This window comes from Homo sapiens, chromosome 2, assembly GCF_000001405.40.
Source record: "Homo sapiens chromosome 2, GRCh38.p14 Primary Assembly".
NCBI lineage: Eukaryota > Metazoa > Chordata > Mammalia > Primates > Hominidae > Homo > Homo sapiens.
This window is the reverse complement of record NC_000002.12, coordinates 67,230,037-67,250,686: the sequence shown is the minus strand read 5'-3', so window position 1 is coordinate 67,250,686 and position 20,650 is coordinate 67,230,037. Positions and strand designations below refer to the sequence as shown.

The 20,650-nt window shown below is 39.6% G+C and overlaps 2 long non-coding RNA genes across 2 annotated transcripts in view, besides 1 other annotated feature; both read right to left on the bottom strand.

Annotated features, from left to right (window-relative positions):
* Positions 1-20,650, bottom strand: part of LINC01828 (long intergenic non-protein coding RNA 1828) — a 202,799-nt gene that overhangs the window by 38,558 nt on the left and 143,591 nt on the right. The window lies entirely within an intron of this gene.
* Positions 6,113-20,650, bottom strand: part of LOC101927661 (uncharacterized) — a 31,167-nt gene continuing 16,629 nt past the window's right edge. The window contains exons 3-4 of the long non-coding RNA NR_110568.1: positions 7,326-7,408; positions 6,113-6,375 (exon numbers count right to left, since the gene is read on the bottom strand). This is a non-coding gene — a long non-coding RNA (uncharacterized LOC101927661). The remainder of the gene's footprint in view (positions 6,376-7,325; positions 7,409-20,650) is intronic.
* Positions 13,805-15,246: an enhancer, noted in NCBI's record as "HHc2:066644 HCNR fragment used in the ZED reporter construct". NCBI's record gives its function as "activates a minimal GATA promoter in hindbrain, branchial arches, neural tube and otic vesicles of 24-48 hpf transgenic zebrafish embryos {active_cell/tissue: hindbrain | branchial arch | neural tube | otic vesicle}" and the evidence as "EXISTENCE:transgenic organism evidence [ECO:0001131][PMID:22448256]".

Sequence of the window (20,650 nt, the reverse complement as noted above, 5' to 3'; positions counted from 1 at the left end):
ACAAAAAATCCCATTTTTTTGCTTTAGGGCAAGAAAATTCTTTCGTGAATGAAACTGGACCCCTATTTCTCACCATATACAAAAATCAAATCAAAATGGATTAAAGACTTAAATATAAGACCTCAAACTATGAAACTACTACATGAAAACATTGGGAAACTCTCCCGAATATTGGTCTGGACAAAAGTTTCTTGTGTAGTACCCCACAAGCATAGGCCACCAAAGCAAAAATGGACAAATTGGATCACATCAAGTTAAAAAGTGTCTGCACAGCAAAGGAAACAATCAACAAAGTGAAGAGACAACCCACAGAATAGGAGAAAATATTTGCAAACTACTCATCTGACAAGGGATTGATAACCAGAATGTATAAGGAGCTCAAATGACTCTATAGGAAAAAATCTAATAATCTCATTTTAAAATGGGCAAAAGACTCAAATAGATATTTCTCAAATGGAAAACAGACATATGAAAAGGTTCTCAACATCATTGATTATCAGAGACAAGCAAATCAAAACTACAACAACATATCATCTTACCCCAGTTAAAATGGCTTTTGTCCAAAAGACAGGCAAAAACAAATGCTGGTGAGGAAACGAAGAAAAGGTAACACTTGTACACTGTTGGTGGGAATGTAAATTAGTACAGCCACTATAGAGAGCAGTTTGGAGGTTCCTCAAAAAACTAAACATAGAGCTACCATAAAATCCAGCAATCACATTGCTGAGTATATTCCCAAAAGAAAGGAAATCAGTATATCAAAGAGATATCGGCACTTCCATGTTTATTACACCACTGTCCACAACTGCCAAGATTTGGAAGCAACTGAAGTGTTCATCGTCAGATGACTGGATAATGAAAATGTGGTATATATACACAATGGAGTACTATTTAGCCATAAAAAGAATGAGATCTTGTCATTTGCAGCAACATGAATGGAACTGGAAGTCATTATGTAAAGTGAGAAAAGTCAGGCACAGAAAAACAAACTTTGCATATTCTCACTTATTTGTAGGAGCTAAAAATCAAAATAATTAAACTCATAGAGATGGAGAATAGAAGACTGGTTACCAGAGGCTGGGAAAGGTAGTGGGGGTGGGAGAAGTAGGAGGGAAATGGGGTTGGTTAATGAGTACAAAATAAAAATAGAAACAATGAATAAGACTTAGCATTTGATAGCACAACAGGGTGACTATAGTCAATAATTTAATTATACATTTTAAAGTAACAAAAGAATGTAATTGGTTTGTAACACAAAGGATAAATGCTTGAAGCGATGGATACCCCATTTACCCTGATGGGATTATTACACATTGTATGCCTGTATCAGGGTATTTTGTATACTCCATTAATACATACATCTACTATGTACCCACAAATATTAAAAATCTTTCATAATACAATAACATTTTTACATATTTTAGTTCCTCCACTATGGTTTATATTTTCATTTCATTTTGTGATTCTGAGAAGCAATTATCCTATTACTCAGAGAAGCAGTTTTTTAGTAAGGTATCTCAAAGTCTCCCTCTCTGCTTGGAGACATGCTTCCATTATTCTTAGAAGCTCCATCTATGAGCTTTCTTTTCTTGGCCAAGGGTGTAAATAAAAAACCTAGTTGAATTTGGAATTTAGGCCCTCGCCTTAGTTGCTGTAAGAAATAGAATGAATTATTTATAACTGTGGGTGTCCAGGTTTTCATCACCACTGGCAGATGGGTGTTTTAGAGCATTCACCTTTAAGATATCCAGAATACAAGCTGTTGATCCTCTGTGGATTGTAGATTTCTAGACTTGGGCTTCTTGGTTCCTGTTGGTTTTTGTCAAGTTTTATGATCACCATTACATTAGCCCCTCTGAAATGCTGGGAAGCTGGGAGCCTCCTTCCTATTAGGAAGCCTTGCCTGACTTTCATACCAATAAAGTTGTTCTTAGACCAGAGTTCATCCTAATAAGCATCTTGAAAATTGCACCTGAACTAAGAATTATTTCCCCCTCTGTCTGCCCTAAGCCTCAGAATCTTACACAGCCTACATGCCTTGAATCTAAGACAGGGCTTATAGCATAACAACTTTTTTTATCACCTTCCATCAGGCAGCAAAGCCTCCAGGTGGATTAGGCTGAGTGTATAAGAAGCTTATAAGGTAGCAGATATCAAGCCTCAGTAAAGGTCATTCTACTAGAGCTATTCTCTTTCTGGACACAGATTTCTTCCTGGACTAGTGTAGGATGTGGAAGGGGGACTGGTATTCTGCCACAGACCCTTGGAATGCTCAAGATAAAGGATCCTCTGTGACAAATGTGCACATGGTCTAAGAACCTAGGGCTGAAAGTGGCAACATGTAAAAGGACAATGGAATACAAATGGGATAATGTTACTTGATCATCTTTCCAAGTATGACACATGAAGGATTACTAGAATGCAATGCTACTGTGATTTCTGGATACCAAATCTTTCTTTTATGCAGAAATATACATTCCTTCATCAGAAAAAATAAGTTAGACGTCCTCATTATGGTTCCATTTGAGGAAGAAAGATTTAGGACAGTTCTCTACCATCTAACCAGGGTTAATGCATAAAGCTCTTATCTAGTCAAATGTAGCCCAAAAAGTTGTTGAAGGGATGTAGAACAGATGGGCTAGAGAGGGAATTTAAAAATAAGCTTTAATAAACTCTTCCTAAGAGCCAAGATCCACATTATGGTGGCAAATTGCACAATAATATAATTGTCTTAGGGATGTAAAGACTCCATGCAGAATATTGGCTCAATGCTCTGGCTCAGTTGAGTTGAGTGATTTTGGCCATCTAGGCTGCTGATGTGTCACTTACTTGCGGGCCACTGGAGTAATATGATTAAACCAGCCACTTAGACAACCCTCCTGTAACAAACACAAGTGCCAGGATCACACTGATGCAGGGGTGTGAAGCAGAGTGCATTTCTCAAGATGCTTTAGGCCATCAGGATCTGGTGGCATAGCACTCTGTTCTCCTGGCCCCAACTTTTCCAAGAAGCCTGACCTTCTAGCAGACAACCTAAATTAATGTCAAGTACAAATGGATTCTCCATAAAAACATTTGACTAATTCATTGCCTAGATCTTAACATTTGTGGCCAAATTTCCAGTTTTCCTGCTGAATAACTTCTTGTTAGAAAATGTCAGAAAAGGGAAAGACATCATGGGCTTCTGAGTCAAACTGTTTTTCTCCCTGAGTTATGGGTCAAAGGTTTTACCAATTTCCTTTCTAGAATTTTTCCTAGGCTCCAATCGAAAAGGAGTTTAGCACCAGATGGGTGGGGCAGGGATGTGATTAGCTATTTATTTATATTTCTACAATATTGAATATACTCTTATTGATAGAGATTTCCATTTACTTTCTCTGAATAGAAATTTGGTTTTCCTAGGGTTGGGGGCTGGTGGGAGAATGTCTTTACATGGCCACACAAAACCCAACACAATCTGGTGAGCCCTTGGAGTGTCTTGCTTAAAAGGGTTCTCGTCACTGGGAGTACTCACTGAAGCCAAGCCAGTTCCCTGTGGAATGCTGGTGTCTGCTACTTACAGAGCTGGCTGTCAGGTTGGTCCTGTGTGTTTGTAATTAGCTATGATGTCTGGATGTTGATAGAGTGAATCTGGCCCATTGGTTCCCCTCCAAAGAGGGGTTTCCTGGCTAGCTCTCCTGTGTCAGAAATGCCAAGTTTGGAGTTGCCTGGAGATGCCAGAGATGCAGATTTATTTGGCTGAGCTCTGGTTGTGAAGCCAAGTGCCGAGAAAGCAGATCAGAGACCAAACCTGAATAGTAATCAGTGGGCTTCTCCAACCACTTGGCTCCTTTGCTTTCCAATGTTATGTTTAATGTTTTAGAATATATTTAGTAAACATGTCACTAGCAATTGCCAGTCCTCAGTCTTCCCTCACTCTTTTTTTTTTTTTAAATGGTCTTCCTTTTTCCTTTAGGTTAGTATGATAGGCTGGTTTTACAATGTATCTGAGTGTGTGTGTGTTTCAGGCTAGACAAATTGGAAGATTTGTTTTTACTAGCTCTTAGCTTGTTATAGCATCCACTCCTTATGAACCAGGTAAATAATATACCTTCTTCTCTTTTATCATCAGATTTGGCTTGTTCTTCTCCCCTGAGAAAGCTGGGCTTAGAGTACACATCAATTCACACAACTTGGTTTGAATTTATAGATGCATGCAAGGCGTGCTCGTTTTTCTTGCATTGAGTTCAAAAGACAATATTCCTTTGTGCTTTAGTCCATATAGGATACAACTACACTCTGCCAACTAAGAACTGAATGGTTTCTAAAGTCTTTCTCTTTAATTATTCCAACCCCAGTATGAGATGAAGTTGGGATCCTTGTTCTTCCCAGTCCTTGCCTCCTTCTTTCTCCCTATCCTTACTACTCCTCCCTACATGTGTATTTTCCTTTAGTTACTGTCTAGCTCCTTACAGATCCCTGAATATATCGAGCTGCTTCATGCTCCCTTGTCTTCATAATTGTGTGTTAGTCTCCTATGAATGTTGTGACAAATTACCATAAACTTGGAGTCTTAAGCATCAGACATTTATTCCCTCACAGTTCTGCATCCCAGAAGTCCAAAATCAACATGTAGATAGGTTTACTCTCCCTCTGGAGGCTTTAGGGAAGAATCCATTCCGTGTCTCTTCTGACTTTTGGTGGCTGCCCTCATTCTTTGGTTCATGGCCATGTTAATCCGTTTCTGCTTCCAAGGCCACATTGCCTTCTCCTCTTCTGTCAGTGTCAAATATCCCTCTGCTCCCCTCTTACAAGAACAAATGTGATTACATTTAGGGCCCACCCAGATAATCCAGGGTCATCTCCTTGTCTAAAAATTCTTAACTTAATCACATCTGCAAAACCCTTTTTCCATATGAGAGAACATTTATGGGTTCTAGAGATTAGGACTTGGATATCTTTTGGGGGTTCATTATTCAGCCTAACATCCACATGCTATTTCCTTAGCTTGGGGCATTCTGTCCACTTTTTTTACCTAGTCAGTACATCTCAGACTATCTATGATGATGGATCATTTAAGAAATTAAATTTAAATTTGTCACAGACAATTTTTCAAAATCACATGCTTGCACTTTGCAGCAATACCAAGTTACTATTATAATTTCCAAACTCTTACTCTTCTCTTGCATCAAACCAGTAACGAACAGTTCGCATACTGCCACTAGTCCACAGACCACACTTTGAGTAGTACTGATCTATATGGCTCCTACTCATTTAAGCACCATCTTTTCCAGTAATCTTTTCTGGCTCTCTCTTTCTGACTTGAGTTTAATGACCCTGAATCATGTTCTCATTGTTACTAAGATTCTTTAATTTTTCTTCACTTTCTAGTTCTTAATTATTTGCTTGATCCTCTATCCTTAAGCCCCTTAAGTGTTAAGAACCATGCTTTGGTAGACTTTGAGCCTACCATGGATCTTTATATACAGCAGATGCCTAATAAGTTTTTATGGAATAAATGATTAAGATATACATGGAGTCTTAAAGTTGCATCCCAAATGAACAGAAAAAAGACTTATTTGGGGAAAATGTGAGGAAAAGATGAGACTGAAGAAACTGAAGGAACCCTAGGATGGTGTAGTAGATTACAAAAATGGTCACAAATTCTTCCTATCAAGAAGGGAAATTTATTTCTGTACCCTTTAAATCTGGGCTGGCCTGGTGATTTGATTTGACCAATAGAATGTGGCAGAAATTATAATTGACTCCTGAACTAGGCTTTCCAAGTTTTTATAGCTTTTGTTATCCTCTGCCACCATATGAACAATGCTGGTTCAGCTTCCTGGAGAATGAGAGACCTTGCAGAGGGAGGTACCATCCTTTGGCTATTCACAGCATCTTTTGGGGCCCCTAAATATATGAGTAAGCCCAGTCAAGGACAGTTGAGCCCAGATCACTCGAGTAAAACCACCTGAATGAGCCCAACACAAATTGATAATACACAGAATCATGAGCTAATTAAAGTGGTTGTTGTTTTAAGCCACTAATGAGGGTGGTTTGTTATACAGCAAAAGCTAACTGATCCAGAAAGGAATCAAAATGGGGCATGAAAGTTAATCAAGAGTTGTCTTTTGTCCTCCCCCAACGCAGAATAGGGATGGGTTTAAATTGTGACAGGGAGGACTAGAATTAGATGTTACAAAGTACTTTTCCTATGCAGAGTGTGAAACATTAAAAGACATAGATAGCAAGAGGAATAAACATAGATGTAATTTGCATCTCTGGCCATAAAACAGAAAAAGGCACTAACAGATCCACGTGGAGCTTGAACCCAAGACCTATTGTCTTTAGAGGCAGAGTCAACAGGGAAGTTGATGATTGTGCAGTTCAGCCCAACTGAAAAAAAAAATGACAATAAGTTTTCTCGAGATTTGCAAGTATCGCTGAATAGAAAGGAGGAAATAAGTTGAAAAATTCAGCTTTAGATTTTGATGACTTGAACTTGTGCTTCTCCCTCCTCATGGCTCATTTGGCCTACCTTTCATTCATCCCTTCTACAAATATTTACTGTTCCCCTCCCCTGCACTGGGCTCAGGAGTAGGTACTGAATATTTGATGATGAATAGGACAGACACAAGACCTCACAGATCTTACTGTTTGGAAGAGCAAACAACCTAATAGGCAACTATTACACTTGGAAGCTTAGGCTTTTTTGCTTTTTTCAGATACATCAAGCATACCTTTCTGCTTTTGTGATTCCCACCATCATGTGCAGCCAATCTCCATCAAGCTTCAGCATCTGTGCCTTTCAGCATGACACTTAGATCACTTTAGGACTAGTCTGAAATCAGCTGTTTGAAATTATGCATCACTAATTTATTGAAGTGGATCATGACGAATCAAGGAAAGTGGAGTCAGAGGTGTGAGAAAAGAAGCAACACATCTGGTGGAGGGTTTTATGGGCTTACAGGTGAGCCTATCCATGCCAGCCTGCAGTGTAGAATTTTAACTTCTGCTATAAAACATCTGAGGCCTAGAGATCACAAATCAGATACACTGCATCCAACGTTAAAAACATCTCGTAATTTACCACAGTAAATCAATGTTTTCCTAGAAATATTGGAACTGAAACAAGAGTTGAGTGAAAACAGAAAAATCTCTAGAGGTTTAGTTGGCTTAAAGGTATTTCTTGAAATATTGAATCCCAGGGCTAGAAAACTGCATTAGAGATATCCTTGAAAGACGTTTTTCCAAGGGATGGAAAAGTGGCTTCCGGAAGGTTGTTTATTACTTGGTAGAAGGAACCAGTTAGTTAGGTTACGGGAGGACAGTCATCTCTTAGTTACCTGGGGGCCAGTTATTCCAAAACTGTGTGTTTTGATCCTTGTGTCCATTGCTTCATACATTGGAACTGCCATCCAAAGGATTGCTGAGGAAGGTGGAGAACATGTAACTCAAAATTAACAGCATGCTAAAGATTAGCAGCATGTTAGCTATACTTGTTCTTTAGATAGCTCTATGAGGAAGTGGCTTCATCTTTCCAATACGGTGGTCCTTAATACTTGTGGATTTCATTTATACCACTATATTTGTCCATATTTACAGGAGTAGGAAATCCAGGGGAGGCAATTAGAATACAGTTTGCCATTTCCAGTATTTTTGCTTCTAGTTTTAAATTTTTAGCATAACCATTTGTCTGCCAAAAAAGGAAAAAAAATTCCCAGAAAGGTCTAGGAGAAAGACCATGGAACTGGTGGCTAGGAACGAGATTTCTACTCTGGGCTCAGAGATTCTCTAACTTTTTTATTCTCTGGTTCCTTATTTTAAAAATGGACACAAAATAGTGCCTTCTAGTCCTTGTGGTGGGGAGGAGGGTGTTAACACTAATTAACAGGAAAAAGACAATTAGAAAGTTAAAAGCACTGTGTAAATATAATATCTGAAATTTGAAACTCCTAAGATTATACTCTTTGGAAACTACTCCTACAACAGCTCTTGGTTCTGGTCCAGGGACTAGAGGAGGTTGAGAGAGTGGCCGTGAGCCCTTTTGCTCCATGTGTGAAGGTGCCTCCCCCTCGCTGCAGAACCTCTTCTTGTTTTGGCATCAGGTCTCAGCAGCTTGCCCTTCCTAGGTGGGTAGCGGTCCACTTGCTGTCTCCTGAGAAATCCTGATTGGCTCAGTTTCCTTATTCATAGGCATGGTATTAAACTTGGGAATTATAAGATAATTTCTTTCAAGTCACAATTGTCAGTTTGCACACAGCCATAGTTCAGGATTTGAAATCTCGAAATCTTTTTATTAAATGTCACCACTGTCTCAATTTCAAAATTGTAGAGGCACTTTTTTTTTTTAATAAAAGGACATTGTTGAGAATTTGAGCCCTTGAATTCCCCTAAAATTATTCTCCTTTGGTGAGAAAACCCCTACTGATTTTTATCTTGTTCTGCTCTTTAAACTACAAGGGAAAACACATGCAAATCCACATATATGCATACCAGAAACAGGAAATGCTTTGTTACCAAAATTCAAAACTAGATGAAGATCAAAAAATTTATTGAGTACTATGCTTATTACCTGGATGATGAGATAATCTGTACACCAAACCCGTGTGACATACAATTTACCTATGTAACAAACATGCACATGTATCCCTGAACCTAAAACAAAAGTTAAAAAATAAAAATAAAAAAATTACTCACAGAAAAAAAAAATTCAAAACTGATTCTATCCACCTACTTCATTAAATAAACAAATAAATACATCATTTATTTCTTAATGGCCCTAAGTGAAGTGCACTGTGCTTTTTAAAGACAGAGAATGTTAATGCAGACACCAGAAAAACTCACCTGAGAAGCCACAGAGTGTAAGGGAAAAGCTCTTGGACTCAGGGCCAGGAGGCCTCTGCTACAAACTTGTGTGTGACCACAGTAAACCGCTTAACCCTGTGGACTTGAGTAAAGGAGAGGCTGAGCTCAGTAATATTTATGAGAATTCTTCCAACTGCAGTATTGGATTTTGATACTGAAAGGAATCCTAGTGTACTATGTACTGCATTCTTTGGGTTTCTTCATCTTGTTTAGGGTCTAGGATGACTTCTTTCTTCTTTTCTTCTCTCCTCTCCTCTCCCCTTCCCTCCCTCCCTTCATCCCTCCCTCCCTTCCTTCCTTCCTTCCTCCCTTCCTCCATTCCTCCCTTCCCTCCTTCCTGCCATCATTTCCTGAGTGCCTGAGATGTGCCTGGCACTTGCTAGGAGTGGTGATATAGCAGTGATGAGGACAGGCAGGTCCCTGACTTTATGCAGCATATACTAGTGAACTGAGAGAATAAACAATGAGTCCATCAACGTCTGTTAAGACTTAGCAAGTTCTCTGCCAGCATGGCTCCAGTTGTCTTGGAAATCTGAAGGAGGTAGACCATGTAACAAAAGGCCAAGACAGATCCCTGCCTGGCATTTTAGCCTCCAATTTGTGTTGTCAGCTAGGAGAAAGTTAAGTTTAGAGGCTGAAGCCTGGAAGGCAAAGGGCAAGGCATGCTCTAATGGGTACCCATCATGCAATTCTTTGGTCTTATGGTCTCTTTTATAATCTCTATTAGAAGGGCAGCTTGGGACATTAGGTGTCCTGACCCCGTCACAGAGCAAGAGGACCCATATTTCCTGCTTGTCAGAGGAGTGCATCCACCATCCCTCCCCTCCTCTCAACCATGGAGTTCTATATGATTCCAGATAATGAACCAGAGAGACTACTTGTATTTTGAACGGCTGCAGAGTATGAACATTTCCTCATGAAAAGAGCCTTTGTCCCTTTTATCGATACTTGAAAGAGGGTGAAGATAAGATGATTCTGGATCTTGTTTGAAGAAAGCTCCCCAAAATTGATCTGAAACTTGTGATAATCATTTCCCAGATGAAACTGGCCCAGACACCACCCAACACCTCCAGGAGTCCTTACAACTCTGCTTATCTGGGTGAGATGAGTCAGCATTACACAGTTTCACTTGTTGCACAAAGGAAGGGACGGTCATAAATATCAGATGGAGGCTCCCATCCTCACTTCATAATCCAGTTGGACATGCTAGTGAAGGAAGGGCTTCTGGAAGGGCTAAATGAGTTGGTAGATGTCAACAGCTCAGCACAGCACTTGACACAAAATAAGCATGTTGTAAACTGCAAGGATTAATAGATATAATATAGATTGTAGATATTTTCCTGCTTCACTTTATGTCACAAAAAAAATGCTAAGTGAATTGCTTAAATGTTGAAACATTCTGGGAATAAACGCAATTGGGCTTTATTTTGTTTCTTTTTTCTTTAGTAGAAACTATATATTTACTTCATTTTAGGTACTACTCAGGTACTCACACCTCAACATATCATTGCTTCTTCCTCTTGTTATGGGGTCAGAAATTTATCATGAAGTTTTAATTGTTAGACAATGAGGATTTTCCAGTTATCAAAATTCTTTGGGAGAGAGAAAACTTTAGCCTCTTTAGGCCAGCACCTAATGACACAGTTGGGAAGAGCAAACCAAATAATTTCGGAAAACAACCTTTGACTACAATTCTGATCCAAGAGGATCAGAAGTGTTATCTATTGAGAGACTGCCATGTCTCAATTTAACAATATTAGGCATTCTCACCTGATTTTTCACTTAAGTCATATAATACACCTGCAAGTAAATGTGATTTCGCCCCTTTCCATACATGAGGAAAACGAACCTGGTGCTTTTTAGGTTAGGTGCTAGAATTTGCACAGGTCTGTCTAATTTTGAAGTACAATCTCTTTTCCTTACTGCCAAAGATGGGGAGAAGAGTGGAGAATAAGAAGTTCGGTTAGAATGGGAAGACTCCTAAGACAAAACTGGCTTCTTAGCATTTGCTTAGGACAAGTGTTAGAATAAATGAACTAAATTAACAATAGCAACAAAACAGGAGAATATTCTGTCTTGGTCTGCTTAGGCTACTATATTAAAATACTAGACATTGGGTGGTTTAAACAATAGACATTTATTTTCTCACAGTTCTTGGGGAGAGAGGACAGAGATCAGGGTGCTAGCATGGCAGGTTTCTGGTGAGGCCTGTCTTCCTGGCTTGCAGACACTAGATCTCTGGTGTCTCTTCTTATAAAGATACTAATCCTATCACATCAGGGCCCCACCCTTATGACCTAATTTAGCTTTAATTACCTTCTTAGGGGCACTATCTGCTAATACGGTCACACTAGGGATTAGGGCTTCAACATATGGATTTTGGAGGGACACAATTCATTCCATAGTTATGCTTCTCTCTAAGTTAATGCTTGTCTATGTCAACCTTATTTTTATATTTTCTATGCTTAACATGGGCCCCATTATAAAACTCAACTTATTTGGGATGGAATAATTAATAAATAAAAACAGTTGGAGGTCCTTCTTTCCAAAAGACTATAAAAATTGATGCTAAAGTATAATAGGGTTGTAAAAAAGAAATTTCAGCAGCTTAATTTCTTAAAAAAAGTCGTAAGAGTTTTCATTAGCTAACTTCCAAGATAGCTAGTTTTAATCTAGAATAAAAGGTTTCTTAAGGTTTCTCAATAGTGACACTATTGACTCCATGCACCAGATAATTCTTTATTGTGAGGGTTACACCGTTCATTATAGGATGTTCAGCAGCATCCCTGGCTTCTGCCCACTAGATGCCTGTAGTACCCCTGTCCCACTCCCACTGCCACCCTGTCTTGGCCTCAATCATAATAATAAAAATTGTTTCCAGACATTGCCAAATGTCCCTGGCAGGAGTAGGGATGTGACAAAGTCATTTGATCTAGATTCCAGTTTGTAGACCACAGAGTATTACGGATCTTAGAGAGGCCTCTAATTCCAAAACAGAGAATCTGCTTCAATCTCATTGGGATGCATGATCCCTTGATTCATCCCTTTTCTCCCTCTTAACTCAGTCTGTGCCTCATGTACACTCACAGATTTCCTACTCTGCCCCCATTCCCTTTTGCCACTTGTCCTTCTGCTGTTTCTGTCTCAGCAGAAGTGTCCATTTTTCTGCTCCTGCTGCCAGGCAGGTAAAGGTTAATTGAGTAAGAAACAACTTTGGCATCTTTTATACACTTCTTGGTTCTGCTACCAAGGTATTCTCTCAAGTCCCAGCTAAGCAGTGGCCAGAAGTTTGCCTCTCAACTTTATAGTGAATTCCTACTCTCAAATCCTATCATCAAACAAAGCTCATCTACAACTTTGCTTCAAAGATCAAGACTTCCTGGTTTGACTGCTGTTAACATCTGTCTTCCATTTACAGACCTTCTATTTCTTTATTTGCTCTGAAGGAAAGTCCATTCTCCTGTTCAAAGCACTCTTGGTCTTCCCTATTATTACCTTTTTCTTGCTTTGGTCCCCTCCCCGTGTGTCCTTGTTTCCCCTTGCATCTTTAGTCTCTCTCATTCTCCTTGTCTTTTCTTCTGTTTCTGAAAACTTGCTTAAGTTTTCTTTACTTTCAATTAAAAAACTAAAAAATCCTCTTCCCTAACCCAGTGGTTCTCAATTAGGAAAGATTTTACGTTCCAGTGGACATTTGGCATCATCTGGAGGCATTTTTGGTTTTCACAACTGAGGGTAGGAGTGTTACTGGCATCTTAAGAGTAGAAACCAGGGGTGCTGCAAAACATTCCATTTAAAATTACAGGTCTTCTTTTCCCCAACCCCAACAAAGACTTATCTGCTCCAGATATCAACAGTTCCTGAGGTTGAGAGTGCTCAACCCTATAATTCCCTGGAGATGCTACATCACCTCTGCTCTTTTACTTTTTAACTCATTGGAAGAATTGTGCACACCTGCAACTGTACTTGCTCACTGCTCAATCACATTCACTTACTCTTTAATCCATTGCAATCTAACTTCCTTCCATAGGTTACCAAACCATCAAATCAAGCAACCTCAGTTCAATCTTTAGCTTCTGAGCCTCTCTGCAGTCTGTGATATTACCTTCCCAGCCTGTAGCTTGGGAAATCATGGAAGGATCAAAGGTTCACGCATCCCAGTGAAGTTGAAGTAAATTGTCTATTTTGGAAATGAGAAGTCTTCCAAGATCCACAATACTTTATAGTCTGGAATCTAGACCCTAGATCAGTGGTTCTTAAATAAATTTGCTCCCCCTCTACCCCTGTCTGGGGACATGTGTCAATGTATAGAGAGAATGTTTAATGTCATGATTCGAGCAGGGGGCACTACTGGCATCTAGTGGGTAGAAGCCAGGGATGCTGCTCAATATTCTTCCATTTTCTTTCTTCTGACTTATCTTTTGGTATGCCTCCTTAGCTCTACCCTGTCTTTATCCTCCTCCAATCTGACAGGTGTTTCCATTAACTCTGTGGTCTCTTTTTACTCCTCCTCTTTGTTTTATCTATGCTGCCGGTTTGTAAACTTGGTGAAAACATTTTAATCATGCTAGATACATGGGATGCTTTTCAGGGTTCCTTGCACAAAGGATAGCTCAAAAAATATTTGTTTGCTTGAATTAGGATTAAACTACGTATATCTATGTAGAAAACAAAACAAAGCAAACTGGCCTCCAATCTCATGAAAATCCGAGAGCAAAATTTGGAGCTTTTATTTATCATGTGGCACATCTTATCTCCATTGTTATGCCATGGTAAAACAGGCCCATGGAAAGTCAGGAGAAATAGGAGTCCAGAATTTGAGTTGAGTTGCTGACACTCTTGGACTTGGGAAAACCTGTATTATTCTTGGGCATATTTCCTCATGCATAAAACAGAGGGGCTAGAGCAGATGAGCTTCAAGGTCATTTCTAATTTCAAAGTTCTATGATCCTAAATAGAAAACTCATAAAGTTGAATCCCTAGTAAATTTTTTTCTAATTCAGCAAGTTTTTCAGTAAAATGATATTCTTAAGTTGACTTAATTAATATCTTTATATTTTGATGGGTCAAACATGCAGTGTTTAAACATGTGTATACATATGAATACATACATATTAAACATTATGTACCTATATAAAATATATGTGTATGTATATATGTATCTATATGTATGTGTGTGTGTAAGCATCATGTAAATCCAGTAAAACCAGGCTTTATTTCTAAATCAAATGTTCCAGTGCAATTCTAAGTGAGTTAAAAGATGTTGATCATAAAAACATGGATTCAGCCTTAACAACTGTGTCACAGATAATGACGATGTAATGAGGGAATTTAAGCAACAATCAGAAATGATGTGGTTTTCTTCCCCCACCAAGCACATGTTAAATTAACCAGTAAGCCTTGAAGCCATGCATACCTGATGATTATTTTATGTTATCTTGTGTTTTAAAAAATGGTTCCAAAGTACTAGATTTACAGCACTGCAGAATCCCACACTGTTGCAATGCTGTCTTCAATTCAGCCACTTCATATTGAAATTTCACACACAATAATTGGCTGACCTTCACAGCTATGGCAGAAACTAATTAAAGCTGTAAGGCTGTGCTAGCATTGCTTTTGTGTGAAATGTGAAGTTTGGTGATAATGAAATATGGGGTGCAGATGTTATTGTCTTAGATAGACCGTGCCCTTGGTTCACACTAATGAAGAACAGCAATTATTAAACAAAAAGTATTTTTTACTCATTAATTATTTTGTGTTGTGAAAGTAGAAGTACAAACACAGCACCACCTCTTCTACCAGCTAATCCCCAAAGTAATTTTATGGACTTTACCAGCTGACTTCTATATCATTAGGTATCCAGTTTTCACTTTCTCCCCCTACTGCTCTTAGACCTTTGGGAGCCTTAAGCAAGGACCTGGATGGGTTCAGAGAGCAAAGGGTAAAGGGCATGCTAAAAATGGTCACCCATAAAGATTTTTAGACAGCTGGAGGATTAAATGAATGAAGCTTTTTGGAAATAACTTCACACACCAAACAGAGATGTTGGTAGAAATATGATGCCATCCACATTGTTGTCGGATGATAGGCAAAGGTCACTGCTGCTCTTGAGGTGCAAGTAGAGAAATGAAGCAGGCCTGAGCTCTGTTTCTTGGTTGTTTGGAGTCTGGGTTTCTATTAATAGGTCAGTGTGACTTGCAGGACTTCCACTGGGTCAAATATAACAAATCACAGATTTGTAACAATTAAAGGAAAACACTAAAAAGGCACATTGTATTGGCAAGTCTTCACTTTCCATGGGCGAATGATCTAGTCTGCTTCTCTTTAGTCCTCTTCTCATTGACTATATTTTAAAATTTAAGTTATTTTTTTTTCCTCATTGACTTTGGGATACTCAATTCTTATTAACTGGCTGAGGTGGGAGAGACATGAATTAAACTTAAATTGTCCAATTTCCCTATTTGGGGAAGGAGAGTGAAATGATTAAGTTTAACTGTTACTTGTGTAATTTTTACTGTCATTCATACCCCGTACCATGAGCATGCAGGTAGCGACTGCATAGGGCACTGTATCAAGGCCTTGTCTAAGAGGTGTCAGCTAGTAAAATGCAGCAATGATGAAGATGGGAAGTGGCAGAAGCAGCAGTAGGTAGGTGGGCATCAACTGGATCATGTTACTTCAGACTAGGCAGGGGAACAAAGGCTTGAGAGGAGGAAGATTTGTGGTCATGGAGATACCATGTAGGGGGAGGTTTGCCATAGAGGTTAGAGGAGGTAGCTTTGGGCTCCATTTTCTTAATGGTTGTGCCAGTTGTCAATATACCTTAGTCTCTGGGTAATGGGATACTTAGTGGGACTATGACTGAATTTGAGGAGTAATTAATATGGCTAATGATGGTTATAATGACTGTTGGCATTCTATGTCTCTTCATTTTGGGGAAAGGATAAGAACATCTTCCCTTATATGAAGGATAGCTATACATTGTTAGGTGGAAACAGACTTGCATGGTTGTTGTAAAGAAGTTCATTTGCGTGCAGATGGGTGCACATAGAAGCTCAGTGACCAAAGGGGTGGACTATGTCAGTTATTAGGCTATTGCCTCTCACTTCCTAATCTACGCTTCATTGCCCTGCTTTTGATAGTGGGACATTTCTCCCTTGCCAGCTTGCACAATGTTCCCTTTTTGCAGTAGAGGGCACTGGAGGGACACTGGAGGAGGAAAGGGCTGTTCTTTCTGGTTTCTGTGTGTTTTCTGGTTACTTCTGTAGTATAAGGTAGGCAGCATTCACAGGACACCAGCAGGGTTCAGAGGCAGCACATTTCATGAGTATCTCCCCATTAGCAGCTTTTCCCCAGCAACGCAGAGGGCAGCTTTTTAGATGTTCCACTATTATGGGAAACTGGCCTGCCATTCAGTGAGCCATGAATGATCAAGTCCTCTCCAAGGGAGACTGGGTCTCACTGAGACCTTGAAGGAGGCAGGGCTTCACTGGGTCCTCTGCCTCAAACCTAGAGGTAGTGGCTGCTCCCTCTCTGTGCTATTTCTGTAATCTTACCCCAAATAGGTAAGAATTACCTACTCCTAAGATGGCAATCCACTCTTGTAGTTAATAATCCTTTTTCACTAAGCTTTCCTTGTTCACATTGCTATGTGGCTTCTGTCTCCTGATTGGAACCTGACTGATTCAGTGACCCTCCCATCTTCACTTCAATGACTTAAAAAAGAAGTAAATTAATTTGTTTATTATCATGACTGATTGAGTTAAATATAAAAGGCTAGGCAAGAAGGTATTGGTAATAGCAGAAAGGTGACAGAATATAATTGAAGCAATTGTCAGCTTTCAGAAGAAATAGATATGAATTAAAAGATTACAACCCTATGCAATTTTCAGTGTAAAGAATAATGAAAGAATGAACAAAAACTCTTAACTTTACCATATATCAAATAAAGCAGTAAATTAGACTGAAAATATAGAAAATATAAAAATGTGGTCACATTGTTCCATGTTAAAATGTACAGAGTACCCACTTAGAGATTACAAAAGGCCTGTAGTGTTAAATCCTTTGGGCTAAGACATGAAACATCAGCTTTGGAGTGGTCTTGGCTTACAGTGTAGAGGGAAGCATTAGATCATCTCACTCTCAGGAACTGGTTTCACCCCTATTACCACTCATCCAGAATGCATCTCCAATTCACTTATTTGAGGCAGACTCCACAGCACTGCTAAATTTTATAGAAGCGAGATCCCAAACACTGCCCTCTCTTTACAGCATAATCATCATTTTCACCAGCAAATCTACCATTACACAAAATATGATCAATAATGGAGTGGATGCTGTTAAATAGAGCAGTAAAGAGACCTAGCTGGAACATTAATGAGAGGCAAGGCACAGCAATGGAAGCCAGCTCTTCCCCAAGGAGAGAAATTGCCCCCTTAGGATATCAAACCATGTTTCTCCTCAGGCTGCATGACACATGGACCTATCAATACCATGAGTAGAGCAATGTGCAGGTAGAGATCACCCATGGGAATGGCATCTAGGGACAGCAATTCAGACAAAAAGGAAAGGGTAATAACTTGTTCATTGAGAAATAAGTGAGTTACAATGCTCCTGAGCAGGTGTCTGGTCTGATGCTTCTAAGCTAGAAGTGCCCGTTTGGCTTAGAAAATATAATGTCAAACTTCTTTTCAAGCCAGATCCCTGGGGACAACTAAAACTGGGTTGCTGCAGAGAACTGCTTTTTAACCAGGGGCTGAGCAAAGTGCTGCTAATAAAACATCAGATGGTCTTTGTGGTGGTTTCTTTCAGAGTAGGCTGGCTTCTGACTGATGGGTCTTTGGTGTCTACTTGTTTTTAGCAAAATTTTCTTTTTTATCTTTTTAGAGATGGGGTCTCACTCTGAAGCCCTTGCTGAAGAGCAGTGGCATGATCATAGTTCACTGCAGCCTCAAGCAAAATTTTAATGTGAGGACCTGTTAGTGGTAGAATACCTGTTTGCCTCTATGAAGAAGTAAATGTCATTTTCAGTCAGAGATAGAGAATGATAGTGATGGTGAAGTTGGTTCTTGTGAGTGTCTCCAGGTTACTCATGAAGGGCAGTTTGCACACCTCCTACTCCCATTAGGTGCATGATTAAATTGCTACGATACTCAACTGCTATAAGGTGTACTGCTGGTAGTCTCACCAAATCAGTAGTTCCTAAACAAGGGGTGCTTTTGGGCTGCACCTTGCCTCTGGATATTCTGATTGAGTGGGCTTGTGGTGGGGAATAGGCATCCGTATTTTGATCTCAGGTGGTTTTGAGGCAGTGATTTCAGGGTACACTTAATCACACAGACTCTTCAAAGGCCAAGGTGACCCAATGTAATAAAAGTTGAAAGAGGAAAAATGGATGCTCTTTGGAGCTTTACTACAAGTTAGAATGAGACTTGGAAATTTGCAGAGGTTTTTGTTAAGCTAGGAAAAATAAAGATGAAAGAGTTTAAATCAGATGTGGTAAGACTAGCAGAGTTTTGATATATCTGGAACAGTATGAGTTCAGTATCCCAGCACCACATTATACATCTTCAGGATATACATTCTCATTGCATCCTCTGTACCCTTTGGAACACGTGTTCAATAGGCAACAGATCAGAAGCACCATCGATACAGTTCAGTCCACATAGTTTATCATCATGGCCTCTGGGTCAGGAGAGGGGACTAATGCTGATCAGAGGTGATCTATGACTTAGTGGGTAGATGGCAAAGATTCCAAGCCTGATGAAGAATTGAGAGAATGTTCTGACCACATAACTCAAGTTTGAAGCAGAAGAGCCAACTTATTATCCTTAGTGCCAAGTCAAGAAGAGTCTGATTATGGAATGTTCTTGGAGACTCTTTTATTTCTCTATAGTGTGAACTGACTTATGTTAATTTATTTACACTCTTTTATTAGAAGTCCATTAAAAACAATAGGGCAAATTTTGAAGACAGGAGACTGATATCAAGGTTCGGTCCATAGCCATGTAGCAGGACAAAGATTATTGGTCTGTGTAAGAATCACACACATGATGTTGACACCCTAGCACCACTCTCTAAAAACCATCCTATCTGACAGTCAAACTGATCCATGCAAAATACTTGTTTACTTATTATAAAGATAATGTATATCTATGTAGACTCACATGAAAATAATAATACCCATCATATACATCAAGAATATGAACAATTCTGTTGTACTTACACATCTCAAATCCTCTGGCAGGCAATCTTCAGCAGTTTAAACATCTTATACTAAATTAATTAGGTTTCCTCAGTCATGTTATTTGTATCTAGGTCAAAGTGAAGCAGGATATTTCCCTGACCCCTTTGGGGGACTCATGACACAGGTGTCTTGTTTACTCAGCCCACCACTCTCAACTCCTCGCAGGAGGGAGTGTGTGAGTGAATGAGGCAGGAACTGGAGTGCATGAGCACTGGAACCAGCTAGCTGCTTTGGTGCCAGCAGGATCAAACTGCACTCACGTGTATCTGTTGCGTTCCATCCCTTCTGGGAGGGAGCCCACAGGTGAGTGGGTGCAGGAGCTGGAACGAGTGCTTTTGGGCACTGGCAGGAGCAAAGTCTCTGCAGGCCCTATGGCAGCATCTAGGTGAGGGGTGCCTGCAACCCCCAAAGCCCCAGAGGGCATATTACTGTGCTCTTTTAGCTCTGCTGTCTGGTCTGTGGACAGCTTAAGTGTTAACAGTTCAGTAGGCCCTCTGCCTTTTCACATGAGGTGGCTGCCTTCCACCAGCAAAAGCAAAAAGCCAGTGTGACAGCCTTTTCTATCCACACTCATGGCTCCCAAGCTCTTGTCCAGCATCCAGGAAATAGGAGGTTGCACCAAACGAATTGAAGAATGGTAAATGCAGGGGATTTTATTGCTGATGAAAGTAGCTCTCAGCAGGAAGGGGAGCTGAAAAGGGAATGGAGTGGGTAGGTAATCTTCCCCTGAAGTCTGGCTGTCTCTGACCAGATTTTTCTCCAAAGTTATGCCATCATGCTCTCCCTCTGAAATCAAGCCACTTCTCTCTGACATCCAGCCATAGTCCTGATGTCCAGCTGCTGCTTCTCTCTGCTGGCTGAGTCTGAGGTCTTTACAGGCACAGGATGGGGGATGGGGTGGGCCATGGGTAGTTTAGGAAAAGGCAACATTCAAGTGGGAAAACAGGGATAGAAGTTCTCACTTTGGGCCACAGTTTTAGGGTTTTTGGCTCGAAGGTGGGGTTTTGTCGGGGACCTACCCTTTTCTGCCTAGAATTTCTCTGCCCCCTGCCTCTATCATTGTATCAAGAGGTCACTTCCTTAATTATTCAATTAAATCAGTGTATTGTTGCTTGTTAATACATGTGTGTTTGGATACATCTCAGGCCAAATATAGTTTCCAAGTGAAAAGAACTGAGAAATAGTAGAAAGCTGATTATTATATTTTCTTGATTCAATGATATTATCATTTGTAAGACATACTTTCAATTGTTTTCAAGGATACAAAAACTAAAACCCCAAGCATTAAATGTATACATTGTTTGTAAGAAATGTCTTGATTTTATAAATGTTAAAATGTAAAAACAAAAACAAAAAATCCCAAAACAGGCATCTTAAAGCTGAAGAAAGTGTAAGCTACTACATAGGCATTCTTTCCATCCCTTAACACTGAATAATAGAAAAGACTAGGGTATTGTGGGGTGCAAGGTCTTTCATGAAGTTCAGTAAATCCTACAGATGACTCAATACTGATAATATATTTAATTTTTAAAAGAAAAACATCCAGATAATTATTTAAAA